Here is a 16,519-nt window from a genome sequence, read left to right as displayed (position 1 = left end):
CACCCCTGACAAGTCCTCTGGCCTAAGTTTCCATTTCTTCTTCAACAAAATTAAAATTTCTAACCCTCTATAACTCCAGGTAGTTGTATGCAGTAATGTAAAAGAACAGCTTTCAGTTTTTCAGAGGAAAGGCACTTATGAAACCCATGAAAGCATAGTTATCTCCAACAACAAAGTGTTGTGAGGCCAATATTCTTGATGTGATATTTATAGTAGCCAAGATGGGGTAGATATAATAGACACTGTTTTAACTGGGATTTTCTCCCTGTTGGATGGTTCTAATAACGAATCCATTTTTAAACAGGAGTTTATGTTACATATCCATGTATGCATGCCAAAATACAAATGCATATAGGCTAGTTGTAACCAGATTGAACAAGGTGAAATGGTGAATGACAAATGCTAACTTCCCAAACTGCTGCGGATACAGACTGTCAGATCACAGATGACAACTGGATGGAAGGCTTAACATGGTGTCTATAAATACCTGGTCTGGGGCCCACTCCAGCTGCAGTACACACACACTACATGCATCATGGCTTCTGACGCTCTGTGTGAATTAGGAAACAGACAAGCAAACTTGGGTTAACAATGCAAACCACACAGCATGCAGGGTTATAGTTTCCGTTCTTTTGCCATCTTTAAAATCAGGAACTGGTAGATTCCAAGTTGAGGGATGTTTCTGTAGTTTGGACATCCAAAATATTTGTTGGTTGCTTCCATTCTCTCACAATACACACAGCAATCTGTTAATTTCAACAGATTTTTAATAGATCTTGTAAAGAAATTAATTTTGTTTCTACACATAGAGAATTCACGGGCAAATGTGAGACAGGTGAAGAAAGTAGATCCACCTGATCGAATTAGGTGATTAAAAAAATCTTATGGAGTAAAGGTGAGTGAACATATCTAACAGTCCCTTTCCAAATTTCTTTCTCAGCTGAGATTCAATTTTAGAGGAAAACAAACCACTTAATTAAATTCTATCCTAGCTTATCTTTTCATCAGTTTTTAAATAATACATCAAGCTGAACACAGTGACTCTGGCCTGCAGTCCCAACACTTTGGGAGGTCCAGGAGGGAGAATCCCTTGAGGTCAGGAGTTCAAAATCAGCTGGGGCAACATAGTGAGACACCATCCCTACTATCAAAAACATGTTTTTTTTTTAAAACATTTTAATATAGAGTTTATAATAGAGTATAAAGTATTTAAAAAATAAGCTCTTTTTTTTGTTGTTTTTTTGAGACAGTGTCTCACTGTTGCCTAAGTTGGAGTGCAGTGGTGCAACCACAACTCACTGTAGCCTTGATCTCCCCAGGATCAAGTGATCTTTCCACCTCATCCTCCCAAGTAGCTGGACCACAGGTGCATGCCACCATGCCTGGCTAATTTTTTTTCTTTTTTTTTTTTTTTGAGAAGGAGTCTCACTCTGTTGCCCAGGCTGGAGTGCAGTGGTGCAATCTTGGCTCACTGCAACCTCTGCTTCCCGGCTTCAAGCAATTCTCCTGCCTCAGCCTCCCGAGTAGCTGGGATTACAGGCGCCCACAACCATGCCTGGCTAATTTTTGTATTTTTAGTAGAGATGAGGTTTCACCATGTTGGCCAGGCTGGTCTCAAATTTCTGACCTCAGGTGATCCACCCTTCCTCAGCCTCCCAAAGTGTTGGGATTACAGGCGTGAGTCACTGCGCCCAGCCGTGGTTTTTTTTTTTAGAAACAAGTGTTTTGCCATGCTGCCCAGGCTGGTCTCAAATCCATAGGTTCAAGTGATCTCCCCACCTCAGCCTCCCAAAGTGTTGGGACCACAGGCATGAGCCACCATGCTTGGCCAGAAAGAAGTTGTTAACAAAATACTTTCACCTACTATGTCCAGAGTATTTATTCGGATGATATTAGGAAGTCGATGTTCTAAATAAAAAGGACCTGATATGTAGAATTATTTCATTACTTAAACATTACAAAAATTAGCACAAGCTATACTACCAGCAACAAAAGGTTATTTAGGTAAAAAGCCATTTCTTTTTAATTCTTTGAAGTTGGTACATCCCCTTCACTAAGCCTGGAAACATATGTGTATCTGTTTTAATCTTCCAAACTTTTACTAAAATAAGGTAATTACCAAAAAAGGATAACTGTTATTAGTAGGTTAGAAAACACTGCTATTATCAGCTAATGTTTCTTAAATAATGGCACCAAGACTGTGGAGGTTAAAAGGAAAAAAAAAAAAAAGACATTTCATAAAATGATAATATATCCTCATATTAACACACAGCATCACGACTAAGATGATAAATTACACCCCAAATGCAAAACCTTGTAAGGAGCTATGTCAAATTCATTCAAGCTTACCTTGCAGGTAAGATTAAAACTATTAAGTTAGTCTCTGTCTGGTTGTTCAAAATTCCTCCCTTCCTACAAAATACTTAAGTTACAACCAAAACTGTAGTTAATATAAAAACTTGAGCCAAAAAGTGATGGGAGTCAATTCTGTTGTTTTTTTTTTTTTTTTGGACACAGGATCTCACTCTGTCACCCAGGCTGGATTGCAGTGGCAGCGATGATGGCTCACAGCAGCCTTGACCTCCTGGGCTTAGGTGATCCTCCCATCTCAGCCTCTCAAACAGCTGAGACCATAGGCGCGCCACCATGGCTGGCTAATTTTTTTTTTAAATTTCTTGTAGAAACAAAGACTCACTATGTTGCCCAGGCTGGTTTCAAATTCCCAGGCTCAAGTGGTCGTCCTGCCTTGGCCTACCAAAGTACTGGGATCACAGGCATAAGCCACCACGCCCTGACTCAAACTGTACTTTATACATAAAACTAAGCCAAAAGGTGATGGAGTTGATTCTGAACAAAGTCAACCTGGAAAACTCCATCTGCCACCCACACCCATTCTAAAGCTCAATGACAGACATCTGAATGTTCTCCAGTAAAACAGTGGCAAAAGCTGCCTGGCTGTTTTTAAAACTCTTACCACTTTCGTCTTTAGGATAAAGCTATTCCCTGAACTTGTAACTCTTAATAATTTACTGTACTAGAAAAAGCAATGTGTGATACTAGTCATACTGATGAATAATGCCAGCACAAGACTGTAAAATAACCCAAACTCAAAAGTAAATTCTATTCAGCTTCTAGAAAATACATCCCAGAGTCACCGTTCTATAATAAATGGGGGATTTCAGCAAAACTGTTACCCCATTTTACCTAGAAAACTTAGCTCCATCATTACATTTAAACAAGCTAAATAACTGAGACTTAGAAAAAAGTATTAGGTAGCATGATTTCAATATATACAGTGCTAATATGGCCTGATGACAATACTGTAATCTCACACCATAACACTGCATTTTCAGTAACGTTCAATTATGCTGGTCAGGCATGGTGTCTCGTTCCTATAATCCTGTCATTTTGAGAGGCTGAGGCGGGTGGATTGCTTGAGCCCAGGAGTTCAAGACCAGCCTGGGCAACATGGCAAAACCTCATCTTTACAAAAAATACAGAAATTAGCTGGACATGGTAGCAGGCACCTGTAGTCATAGCTAGTCAGGAAGGGGAGATGGGAGGATCAGTCTGGGTGACAGAGTAAGACCTTGTCTCAAAAAAAAATTTTTTTTTTAATTAAGTAAATAAAAATTTATACTTCTTTTTGTTGGTTCTTCTGTCTTCGGTGAAGTTAGGGCTGCTCACACACAGTAGCAATGATACTTTTCAAAATAAACCAGGCCTAAGAGGCATGGTGGCTCATGCCTGTAATACTTTGGGAGGCGGAGGCGAGAGGATCTGCTTGAGCCTGTGAGACTGAGACTGAGGCTGCAGTGAGCCATGGCTGCGCCACTGCACTCCAGCATGGGCAGCAGAGCAAGACTCTGTCTATATAAATAAAATAAAATAAAATAAATAAAATAAAATAAAACAGTCCTAAGAAAAGGAAAGAAATAGGGAAATACTGTTGGACTCAAAAGTTAACATCTGCTTACTGTCAAAATTTTCTTTAGGAAAATCACAAAAACAAAAACATCCAAAAAAAACTTCCTAAAAAAATTTAGGAAGCTTCTAAAATGTGTCTAAGCAAAATAACCCCAATCTATCTTAAACACAGCAATGGACTGAGCTGTTCTTAATCTGTTGAAATACTAAAAAACAGAATGTTTCTCTTTTTTATGAGATAGTGTCTCACTCTGTTGCCCAGGCTAGAGTGCAGTGGTGCCATCTTGACTCACTGCAACCTCCGCCTCCCAAGTTCAAGCAATTCTCCTGCCTCAGCCTCCCAAGTAACTGGGGTTACGGGGGGTGTGCCACTGCACCCTGCTAATTTTTTTTTAATTTTTATTATTATTTTTTTTTGAGATGGAGTCTCGCTCTCTTACCCAGGCTGGAGTGCAGTGGTGCGATCTCAGCTCACTGCAAGCTCCGCCCCCTGGGTTTATGTCATTCTCCTGCCTCAGCCTCCTGAGTAGCTGGGAATACAGGCGCCTACCACTACGCCCGGCTAATTTTTTGTATATTTAGTAGAGACGGGGTTTCACCGTGTTAGCCAGGATGGTCTCCATCTCCTGACCTCGTGATCCACCTGCCTCAGCCTCCCAAAGTGCTGGGATTACAGGCGTGAGCCACCGCGCCTGGCCAATTTTTATATTTTTAGTAGAGATGGGGTTTCACCATGACCAGGCTGGTCTCAAACTCCTGACCTCAGGTGATCCGCCCCCCCCCCCCCCCCTCCGGAGCCTCCCAAAGTGCTGGGATTAACAGGCGTGAGCCACCACGCCGGGCCAGAATACAGACTTTTTCATTATTGTATTAAGAGATGGGGTTTGGATATGGTAGCTCACACCTGTAATCCCAGCACTTCGGGAGGCCAAGGCAGGAGGACTGCTTGAGCCCAGGAGTTGGAGATAGGCCTGGACAACACAGCAAGACCCTATCTCTGCTAAAAATAAAAAATTAGCCAGGTGTAGTCCCAGCTACTCAGGAGGCTGAGGTGAGAGGACTGCTTGAGCCCAGGAAGTCAAGGGTGCAGTGAACTACAATCATGTCACACTGCACACTGCACTCCAACCTGGGTGACAGAGTGAGACAATGTCTCCAAAAAAAAAAAAAAAAAAAAAAAAGGAAGATCAAAGAAGGAGGTTAAGAAGACAAATAATGAACACATCTACTACTGGACCATGAGACTAATTAAAAACTGGAAAGGTTCCTACCCCTTCTGAAGCCCACACTTCCCGGGCTTACCCATCAATAACAAGTATTGAAGAGTTTGGCCATCCCAAATACCTGCATCCTCTGCTGATTTTTGAAGGGCTTCTGCTAATTCTTGGTCTGCAATCTCCTCTGGCCGTACATCCTCTCTTCCAGCCCCATATGCCAACCGGGCACACTCTGGTAGCTCTCCCTCAGGAAGAAAGGTGGTCTGGGAGCCTGTGGTGCCGATCACGAGTACATTTTTCTTCAGGTCGATGGAACACTTGGAAGAAAGAAACCAAAGAATAATAGCAGATAAAACACCATGCAGAAAAATTATGCTCCTTAATTTAAAACTCCAATCACAAATGGCCAGGCACGGTGACTCATGCCTGTAATCCCAGCACTTTGGGAGGCTGAGGAGGGCAGATCACCTGAGGTCAGGAGTTCCAGACCAGCCTGGCCAACACGGTGAAACCCCACCTCTACTAAAAATACAAAAATTAACCAGGCGTGGTGGCACATGCCCATAATCGCAGCTACTTGGGAGGCTGAGGCAGGAGAATCACTTGAACCTGCGAGGCAGAGGTTGCAGTGAGCCAAGATTGTGCCACGCAAGGCAATCTCCACAGTATTCTTTACTCCATGCTAATGCTAACTTCCTTTTTTGTGTATTTTATAACTACTTAATAGACAGTTGTGCACATATATGATTTACATCTATAAAGTTGGAGACTGCTGGTCTATACCATGACTAAAAAAATAAGGAAAGGCAGTGACAAGGTTTTATTGATACATACACTCATTCATTCATTCGTTCTATTTAGAATGCTGTGAGCCGGGCGTGGTGGCTCACGCCTGTAATCCCGGCACTTTGGGAGGCTGAGGCGGGCGGATCACGAGGTCAGGAGATCGAGACCATCCTGGCTAACAAGGTGAAACCCCGTCTCTACTACAAATACAAAAATTAGCCGGGCGTGGTGATGGGTGCCTGTAGTCCCAGCTACTCGGGAGGCTGAGGCAGGAGAATGGCGTGAACCCAGGAGGCGAAGCTTGCAGTTAGCCAAGATTGCACCACTGCACTCCAGCCTGGGCAACTGAGCGAGACGCTATCTCAAAATAAATAAATAAATAAATAAATAGAATGCTGTGTCTTATTATCAATATGATGCATCTACTTTTACAGAAATATTTTAAAATAGTGACATAAAAATATTGATTAGCTATATTTTCAATTGTTTTTAACTCAATTTTGTTTTTTGAGATGTGGTTTTGCTCTGTTACCCAGGCTGAAGTGTAGTGGCACAATCTTGACTCACTGCAGCCTGGTCTCAAGGGATCCTCTTGCCTCAGCCTCACGAGTAGCTAATGTACCACCACGCCTAGCTAATTTTTGTACTTTTTGTAGAGACAGGGTCTCACTAAGTTACCCAGACTGGTTTCAAACTCATTCTGGCCTCAAGCAATCCTCCCTCCTTGGCCTCCCAAAATGCTGGAATTACAGGCATGTACCACTGTACCTGGCAGGTTGACTGGATATAAAACCCTACTGTGAAAAATGTGAAGTACCCAGTGAGGTCTACAGCCATACCACCCTGAGCATGCCTAATCTCATCTAAATACCCAGTGGACTAACTGCTTCTTCAACGACGGCAGTATATCTCAAATTATTGTGCTTTAGAGTAGAAAGATAAATATCAACACAAATTAATATATTAATTATGCACCCTGTACTAAATAAACACTTTCACTCCCAACATATACCTTCCTTAACCTTGAAGGTCTTCTTCCCAAGTACTGTTTGATCAGCATCAGAGAATGCTAAAGACTTACTTGACTCACACTTTTTAGTCAGGTCATCAAAAAACTACTAATCAGGATCTAACCAGAATCTGAAAATTATACAAGGGAACCAAACTGTCCTTTACAATCTCAAAACATTTGGCAAGATTTAACAGATTCACAGAGAGATTTCACAAAAACAGATTCTATCTATATCGACACATCATTTCAACCTCTGTATAGCAACATAATTTAAGGACATTTCCAGGTTTGAAAAGTCGTTATTTCTTAGTTTTCCAGTATATGTAACCAATAAAAATAATGTGATAATGACCATATTACAAAAAGCAGATGCAAAAAAAATAAGTGAAGCTCTTAATTACCTGGTGCCGTTTAAGCATGTCCAGTCCCAGAAGCATGTCCATGGGCTGTTCCTCAAGTATAGAGAAGGAACATGGCAAAAAATCTCCTTCAATCTGAACCTGAGCTAAAAAGCACATGAAGAGAAAAGGTTATTGTTACGTACTTCAAAACAGAGACGGAGTTTCGCTCTTGTTGCCCAGGCTGGAGTGCAATGGCATAATCCTGGCTGATGGCAACCTCTGCCTCCCGGGTTTAAGTGATTCTCTTGCCTCAGCCTCCCAAGTAGCTGGGATTACAGGCATGTGCCACCACGCCTGGCTAATTTTGGTATTTTTAGTAGAGACGGGGTTTTGCCATGTCGGTCAGGCTGGTCTCAAACTCTTGGCCTCAGGTTATCTGCCCACCTTGGCCTCCCAAAGTGCTGGGATTACAGGTATGAGCCACCGTGTCCAGCTGAAAAGTTCTTTTCATTATTATTTTTTGAGACAGAGTCTTGCTCTGTTGCCCAGGCTGGAGTGCAGTGGCGTGATCTCGGCTCACTGCAACCTCTGCCTCCTGTGTTCTCTGATTCTCTGCCTAAACCTTCCAAGTAGATGGGATTACAAACACGCACCACCACGCCCAGCTAATTTTTACATTTTTAGTAGAGACAGGGTTTCACCATGTTAGCCAGGCTGGTCTTGAACTCCTGACCTCACGTGATCCACCCACCTTGGCCTCCCAACGTGCTGGGATTACAGGCGTGAGCCACTGCACCCAGCCAAAAACTTTTTGTAGAGATTGAGTCTCGCTATATTGACCAGGCTGGTCTTGAACTTCTGGCCTCAGGCAGTCATCCCTGCCTTGGCGTCCCAAAGTGCTGGGATTACAAGAGTGAGCCACCACACCCAGCAGATGACCTATTTTTAAAGAACTCCTTCCTTACACAAGATATTGTGTATTTTCTGCTAAAATCTTTAATTTTCCTTTCCACATCTAGGTTTTAGGGTTGTTTTTTTTTTTTTTTTTTGAGACAGGGTCTGCTACGTTGCCCAGGCTGGTCTCAAACTCCTAGGCTCAAGCAATCCTCCCTCCCCTGCATCTAGGTGTTTACTCTGAATTTGCTTTTGTGTGGTGTGGGTAGGGTCCGATTTCTAATTCATTTCTCCCCATGGATACCTCTTGTCCCAGCAACATTTCCTAACATTTCCCCATTGCTCTGTAAGACTTCCTCTCATTGATCAATGTTCATAGAATCATGGGTTTGTTTCTACTCATATCTTCTAGATAGTCCTTTGATATCTAGAAGGCAATGTTTTTCTAGAGTATTTTGCCCATTCTCACAATATAGGGCCCACGCCAAATTTAAAATGAGCACATCCAGTCTCACAAAAAATCTACCAGGATTTTGATGGCATCTCAATGGTTCTGTGGATTAATGTGGGAGAACTGCCACCCCCAACATACTGAATCTCTAATCCATGGTAAAGCTTTCCTTTTATTTAGGTTTCCCCTATTGCTATAAGGGTTTTTTCATGCTGATCATAGCCACGGTTGTAAAATCCACAAGGATGGCCACAGAGCTTGGTACTTATTTTGTCTCCTCCTATTATCTTCTCATTTAAAGTCATCAAAAATCTGAGAACTCAGCCCCTGAAGGAACCAGTTTATGGTATTCCTGCAAAACTCTTAGTCCTACTGTGTTTAGGAAAGTGTAAGGTAGTTGAACTATCTTTATCCTACACAAATCAATAAGAGAAACACAAAGACCCTAATAAACAGACATACATATTTCAAAAGAAAGGAAGAGCAAATGTGCAGAAAAACTATCATTTACAATGAAAGAAAAGTAACTTACAATAAGAAACCACTCTTTTATTTGTAAAAAAAAATTTTTTTTGAGAAAAGAGTATTGCTCTATTGCCCAGGCTGAAGTACACTGGCATGATCTCGGCTCACTGCAACCTTTGCCTCCCGGGTTCAAGTGATCCTCTCACCTCAGCCTCCTGAGTAGCTGGGACTACAGGCGTACGGTCATGACAACCGGCTAATTTTTTGTAGTTTTAGTAGAGATGTGGTTTCGCTATGGCCCCCAGGCTGGTCTCAAACTCCTGAGCTCAAGCAATCTGCCCACCTTGGCCTCTCAAAGTGCTAGGATTTCAGACATGAGCCACCACACCCACCTTATTTGTAAATTTAAGAGGGAAAACTAATATTCCTTAACAGTATAGGACACTAAGATGAATATTCATTCAGTGGTGGATAAACTGGATTGGTACAGGTTAGCAACATATCAAGAGTCCTAAAGCATCCGTAACTTTGATTCAGTAGTTTCACTTATAGGAATCTTGACTAGGGGGAAAAAATCAAAATGTGCAGAAAACTATACTGCCATGTTCTAATAGGAAACATCACCAGCCAGGCGCAGCAGCTCACGCCTGTAATCCCAGCACTTTGGGAGGCTGAGGCAGGCGAATCACTTTGAGCTCAGGAGTTCGAGACCAGCCTGGGCAACATGGTGAAACCCTGTCTCTACTAAAAATCCAAAAATTACCCGGGTGTGGTAGCAGGTGCCTGTAATCCCAGCTATTCGGGAGGCTGAGGCAGGAGAATCACTTGAACCTGGGAGGCACAGGTTGAAGTGAGCCAAGATTACGCCACCGCACTCCAGTGTGGGCAACAGAGTGAGACTCTGTTTCAAAAAAAAAAAGAAAAAGAAAAAAAGAAACAACCCAAAAGCTGATCCTTAAACCTGCAACAGAATGCTATACATTTATTCATTTATTTAAATAATTCTTTTGAAATTCATGGTGACATTGGGAAAATGTTGTTTCACTTTTTCTTTGAGCAGAATATAAAATTTTAAACAGAAATAATCACCTTTTATAAGATAAAAAAGTGCACAGAAAAAAGACCAGGAGATATGCCCAAATGATACTGGTGGTTGATTCTCACTACAGGAATTTAAGGGATGTTTTTTTCCTTCATCTCACATTTCTATACTTTTGAAGTTCTCTACAGTAAGCATCTATTAAATGGATAATGGAAGAAGAAAACAAAAACAATTCTGATTAGAGATGAATGACTGAACACATGCATTTATCTACATTTACTCCTAAAACATTGCAAAAAAGGTTTTTGGGTTTTGTCTAAGGCACACATTTTTTTTTTTCTTTAGAGATGGAGTTTCACTCTTATTGCCCAGGCTGGAGTGAAATGGCACAATCTCAGCTTACTGCAACCTCTGCCTCCCAGGTTCAAGCGATTCTCCTGCCTCAGCCTCCCGAATAGCTGGGATTACAGGCACCCGCCACCACGCCCGGCTAATTTTTGTATTTTTAGTAGAGACAGGGTTTCACCATGTTGGCCAGGCTGGTCTCGAACTCCTGACCTCAGGTGATCCACCTGCCTCGGGGTCCCAAAGTGCTGGGATTACAGGCATGAGCCACCATGCCCAGCCCTAAGGCATACATTTTTAAGGCCAAATATAATAGTAGAGACCACAGGAACAAAATTTTAGAGCTAAAAAGCAGATGACAGTGAGGAAAACTGAGCAGTAACCCAACTGACATCACAGAACTCCTATGGAGCATAGGAACTGGTCATAAATACTTCTGCAGATAGGAGGAGAGATGGACCCAAAGCAGCAAGGCTGGCGGGAAGGCCGCAGAGGCACAGTTAGCCCTTGGGGTGTCCCTCCCGCACTCTGCTAGGCCAGGAGACCCTTCACCCCAGTAGCAGACTAGAGGCTTATTTTCTGGAGAGGGTGAAACAGAGGCACTCTTAACAGAGGTGAGCATGGAGGGAGACAGGGACAGAACAAGTATCCAACTGAAAACCAGGGGGAATAAATAAAATCCAACTGAGATGCCAGCCTTTTTCTCCCTCCCAACTTTCAGACCCACCCTACAGTGAAGGCCACAAGAGCCATGGCTGCCTACCCAGGTCATTTACCAAACAAGCCTTTTGGTGGCCCACTCTTTTTTTTTTTTTTTTTGAGACGAGTTCTCATTGTCATCCAAGCTGGAGTACAGTAGTATGAACACAGCTCACTGCAGCCTCTATCTCCCTGGCTCAAGCAATCCTCCTGCCTTAGCCTCTCGAGTAGCTGGCACCATCGGCACTTGCCACCACACCCGGCTATTTAAAAAAATTTTTTGTAGAGACGAATTCTCCCTATGTTGCCCAGGCTGGTCTCAAACTCCTGGCCTCAAGCCATCATCCCACATGAGCCTCCTAAAGCACTGGGATTATAGGTGTGAGCCATCCCGGCCAGCCAGTGGCCCACTCTTCAATGTGAGCTGATGCCAAGGATCACAAGACATTTATGAAAACCATCTAAAGTAAAATACAAACAAATACAAAATCCAACACAAAGGTTGGAAGACAAAGTTGAAGAAATCCCACAGAAAAACAAAAGAGAAGAAAACTAGAGGACAAGTCCAGGAGAGATTATCCTACCTGAATAACAGACATTCCAGAGGGGAGAAAATCATCGTCAAAATAATTCAGAGAAAGTCCCCAGAACAGAGGGATGTGAGCGTCTAGACTGCACAGGTTACCAAGTACCTAGCACAGTATATGAGAAGAGATCCACACCCAAGCATGCATTGTGAAAATTCAAAACACTGAGGTCAAAGGGAAGATCTACAAGCTTCAAAGAAGAAAAAGAAGGCTGGGAACGGTGGCTCACGCCATAATCCCAGCACTCTGGGAGGCCTCGTGGGCGGATCACTTGAGGCCAGGAATTTGAGAGAGATCATCCTGGCCAATATGGAGAAACCTCGTCTCTACTAAGAATACAAAAATTAGCTAGGTGTGGTGGTGCACGCCTGTGACCCGGCTACTCAGGGAGGCTGAGTCAGGAGAATCGCTTGAACCCGGGAGGCGGAGGTTGCAGTGAGCTGAGATCGTGCCACTGCACTCCAGCCTGGGCGACAGAACAAAGACTGTTTCAAAAAAACAGAAAAGAGGCCGGGAGCGGTGGCTCACGCCTGTAATCCCAGCACTTTGGGAGGCCGAGGCGGGCGGATCACGAGGTCAGGAGATGGAGACCACCCTGGCTAACACGGTGAAACCCCGTCTCTACTAAAAATACAAAAAATTAGCCGGGTGCGGTGGCGGGCGCCTGTAGTCCCAGCTACTCAGGAGGCTGAGGTAGGAGAATGGTGTGAACCCAGGAGGCGGAGCTTGCAGTGAGCCGAGATAGCGCCACTGCACTCCAGCCTGGGCGACAGAGTGAGACTCCGTCTCAAAAAAAAAAAAAAAAAAAAAAAACAAAAAAAACTGAAAAGAAAAAGAAAACTTTCACATAAAGGATCAAGAATCGGAACAGAATCCAGCCTCACTACAGCAACACTGACAGTGAAAAGGTTAAGGGGCAATGCCTCGAAATTGTGAAGGAAAATGATTTCCAACCTAGGCAGACCAGTATAATGTAGGGAAAAAAGACATGTCTGATAATTAGTCTCAATTTACTCCCATGCACCTCTTCTAAGAAAGTTACTGGATGATGCACTCCAATAAACTGAGGGGCAGATAAAAAAGAGGAAGACAAGGGATTCATGTAATCCAACACAAGACAGAAGAGAAAGGAATCTGTAGGACTCAGTCAAGTTAAATTCCAAAACAGCAGCTCTGAAGCAGGCCTGAAACTGCCAGTCCAGGCTCAAGAAGTATCTTTGATAGGATGAAATGTAGAGGCTATTGGATGTGCTTGAAGGGAGATTTACATAATTAGGAAATGTCTGGGATGAATACTACGCAAGAAACCAAGTAAGAAAAACAGGACAATTATTAATTCTAAGAGAAAATAATACTAGCCATGAAAGAAAAGCAATCACATTCAATTAGATAGCTCAGCTCTCAAACACAGTCATATGAGTAAACAGCAAAATAAACATGTTATTTAGAAATATGGAGGTAAGTATAAAAATAAATCAGCTAAAATGACGGAAAGGGATTATATTTTCAGGAAATAGAAACGTAGAGGAGACTACTTGTTTGCAACCAGCAGAAACACATAACTTTGACGGAACACAGGATTTAAAACTTCTAGAAATTAGGCTTGCTAGCTCAGACATACCCACACAAAAGAAATTTAAAACAACAACAACAAAATAACAACAAAAGACCCTCTAAAAACTTGAAAATCGACTACCCTACCTACAAATAGCCTACAGAAAGACAGCAAGCCCCAGTGCCTTTTGCTCACCTAGATGTACCCTTCCAATAATCTTCTGGGTGCCCACTCCTTTGGCAATCCCTGCCCACCGACGGTCCACCAGTCTCATTATGTTACACCTTTCTGCACAAGCTTGGCTCATGATAGTCATCTGGGCACCTGGAGGAGTAGAGAAACATCAGACAATAAAAACAAAATCCACTTTGTGAGAAGACTCAAAATATAGCACTAAATAATAACAAAGCGAAAACCAAGCACACCCCAAGGCTTTGGTCTCTATAAACTCATTTCTACCTAGCAAGTGCCCTGCCTGCCTAATTCAACTTTCAGTTCTACTCTGTAATCTGAAACATGATGTACAATTTGACATTGAGGGAAGAATATTCTGTAGCGATGCAATAATTAAATGACATTTTAAGACTTTACCAGTAGAAAGCAGTGATGTCCTGCGTCTACAGATGGCAATGCTAAATTAGCAGTACTTTGCACTTCTTACCGAGTATCTCTAAGCCGTCGCCTCCTGGCTTCAAACGATTCTCCTGCGTCAGCCTCCTGAGTACCTGGGATTGACAGGCTTGCGCCATCATGTCCAGCTAATGTTTTTTTTTTTGTTGTTGAGACAGTCTCGCTCTGTCGCCCAGGCTGAAGTGCAGTGGCGCAGTCTCAGCTCACTACAAGCTCCACCTCCCGGGTTCACACCATTCTCCTGCCTCAGCCTCCCAAGTAGCTGCGACTACAGTTGCCCACCACCACACCCGGCTAATTTTTTGTATTTTTAGTAGAGGTGGGGTTTCACTGTGTTAGCCAGGATGGTCTCGATCTCCTGACTTCGTGATCCACCTGCCTCGGCCTCCCAAAGTGCTGGGATTACAGGCGTGAGCCACTGCACCCGGCACGTCCAGCTAATTTTTGTATTTTTAGTAGAGATGGGGTTTTACCACGTTGGCCAGGCTGGTCTGGAACTCCTCACCTCAAGTGATCTGCCCACCTCAGCTTCCCAAAGTGTTGGGATTACAGGTGTGAGCCACAGTGTCTGGCCCTATCAAGTTGTTTTTATATCAAATTTTGGGCTGGGTGTAGTGGCTCATGCCTGTAATCGTACTTCAGGAGGCCAAGACGGGAGGATCACCTGAGCCAAGGAGTGGAAAACCAGCTTGGGCAACATAGCAATATCCCGTCTCACTATGTAAACAAGTAAGTACATTATTTACTACTTTATCTGCTCAAAAAGTAAAATTAAAAACAAAAACCCCACACTGGGACACTATAGTCTACTATTAATAAATCATGCAGTCTTCCAAAATTTAGAAGTGGACTCCCATACTCTGCTCCAACAATCAGACTCTCTTCCCTTTAAATATGAGGGCACTTAGGTTATTTTCTCTCCCAGAAACATGTACACGGCGGGTTGGCCTATGTAGAAGACAGTCGCTTCTGTAATCTTTACAGTCCTAATTTCTCCCTGAAACTCTAGTTCTACATTCTTGTGCACTGGACATTTCTGTCAAAGCCAACAGGCATAAAACTCTTTCTCCCCAAATAATTCTCACTTTGGATTTCTCTGTGTTTGCCAATGGGATTATTTTCTTGCAGCCATAAAACCTGGGCACTGTTCACTTTTGACTCTTCTCCTAGTCTTTCTTCTCTCAAACCTGTAAATAAGGTCTATGCAATTTCTGCTATTTCTGATGCCCTTTCTTCTCCTTTTTTTTTTTTTTTTTTTTTGAGACTGAATTTCACTCTTGTTGCCCAGGCTGGAGTGTAATGGTGCAATCTCGGCTCACTGCAAGCTCCACCTCCTGGGTTCAAGCGATTCTCCTGCCTCAGCCTCCCGAGTAGCTGGGATTACATGCAAGTGCCACCATGCCCGGCTATTTTTTGTATTTTTAGTAGAGATGGGGCTTCAGCATGTTGGCCAGGCTGGTCTTGAACTCCTGACCTCAGGTGATCCACCTGCCTTGGCCTCCCAAAGTGCTGGGATTACAGGTTTGAGCCACTGTGCCTGTCCTGATGCTCTTTCTTCTAACCATAGTGATCAGCCTGGCTCACACTGCCATTCCCTTGCAAAAGGACAATTGTTCTGGCTTCCAAACCACTCCGTGGATGCGTAATTTAAAGCAAGGATATTGTTGTGACCCTTAGGGGTACAGAATTTTCCAGATCTGTGTCTACCTTTAGTTTTCCTAAAATGTCACTTTTTTTTTTTTTGGAAACACAGTCTTGCTCTGTTGCCCAGGCTGGAGTGCAGTAATGTGATCTCAGCCCACTGCAATCTCTGCCTCCCAGGTTCAGGCTATTGTCCTGCCTCAGCCTCCTAAGTAGCTGGGATTACAGGTGTGCCACCATCATGCCTGGCTGATTTTGTGTTTTTAATAGACATGGGGTTTCACCATGTTGGCCAGGCTGGTCTTGAACTCCTGACCTCAAATGGTCTACCCGCCTCAGCCTCCCAACGTGCTGGGATTACAGGTTTGAGCCACTGCACTGGGCCAATAGCACCATTTTCAAATCACTTACTTCTTCATCTGCTTAAAAGTCCTCAATGGTTTCCACTCCTTATGAGATTAGTTTCAAACCACCATCACCACAGCTTCAGATCCCACCCCATCCTGGCTCCACCATTTCTTTCCAGCCGTACATTCTAACTACTCTAAACCCTCTGCTTCAGCAGGAGGAATATGTCCCCTTTGCCATTCACTCACTTTGACCCTCCTGTAAAATGGTCCCTGCCCTGCTTTTTTTCCTGAATTCCACCGATGCTTCAAGATCTAGCTCAAGACCCACTTCCTCCCTAACTGACTGCCCTTTTGCAATGACCTCGCCTCTCACTCAATTCCAACACTTCCTGCTCATATTACTCACAGGTACCCTACACTTTATAAGTAATAAAAGTTCTTGGCATTTGAGAAAGATTAGATTCAAAAAGGCCCAGAAATAATGAAGGAAAAGGGAATTTGGAAAGGCAATTCTCTCTTTTCTTCCTCCTTCTTAATTTACAAAAGCCAAGTTATTAAAGTAAGCAACCCAGGATGA

The 16,519-nt window shown here is 43.2% G+C and overlaps 1 protein-coding gene across 1 annotated transcript in view; it reads right to left on the bottom strand.

The window, feature by feature from the left end:
- DDI2 (DDI proteasomal shuttling factor 2) overlaps nucleotides 1-16,519 on the bottom strand; it is a 51,587-nt gene that overhangs the window by 11,878 nt on the left and 23,190 nt on the right. The window contains exons 6-9 of the mRNA NM_032341.5: nucleotides 13,517-13,645; nucleotides 7,344-7,447; nucleotides 5,272-5,461; nucleotides 488-550 (exon numbers count right to left, since the gene is read on the bottom strand). Coding sequence (NP_115717.3) covers nucleotides 534-550; nucleotides 5,272-5,461; nucleotides 7,344-7,447; nucleotides 13,517-13,645 — 440 coding nt within the window. The 3' untranslated portion in view covers nucleotides 488-533. The remainder of the gene's footprint in view (nucleotides 1-487; nucleotides 551-5,271; nucleotides 5,462-7,343; nucleotides 7,448-13,516; nucleotides 13,646-16,519) is intronic.

This window comes from Homo sapiens, chromosome 1 (genome assembly GCF_000001405.40).
Source record: "Homo sapiens chromosome 1, GRCh38.p14 Primary Assembly".
NCBI classification, from domain to species: Eukaryota; Metazoa; Chordata; class Mammalia; order Primates; family Hominidae; genus Homo; species Homo sapiens.
The sequence above is the reverse complement of the archived record's forward strand: the minus strand, read 5'-3'. Positions and strand labels throughout refer to the sequence as shown.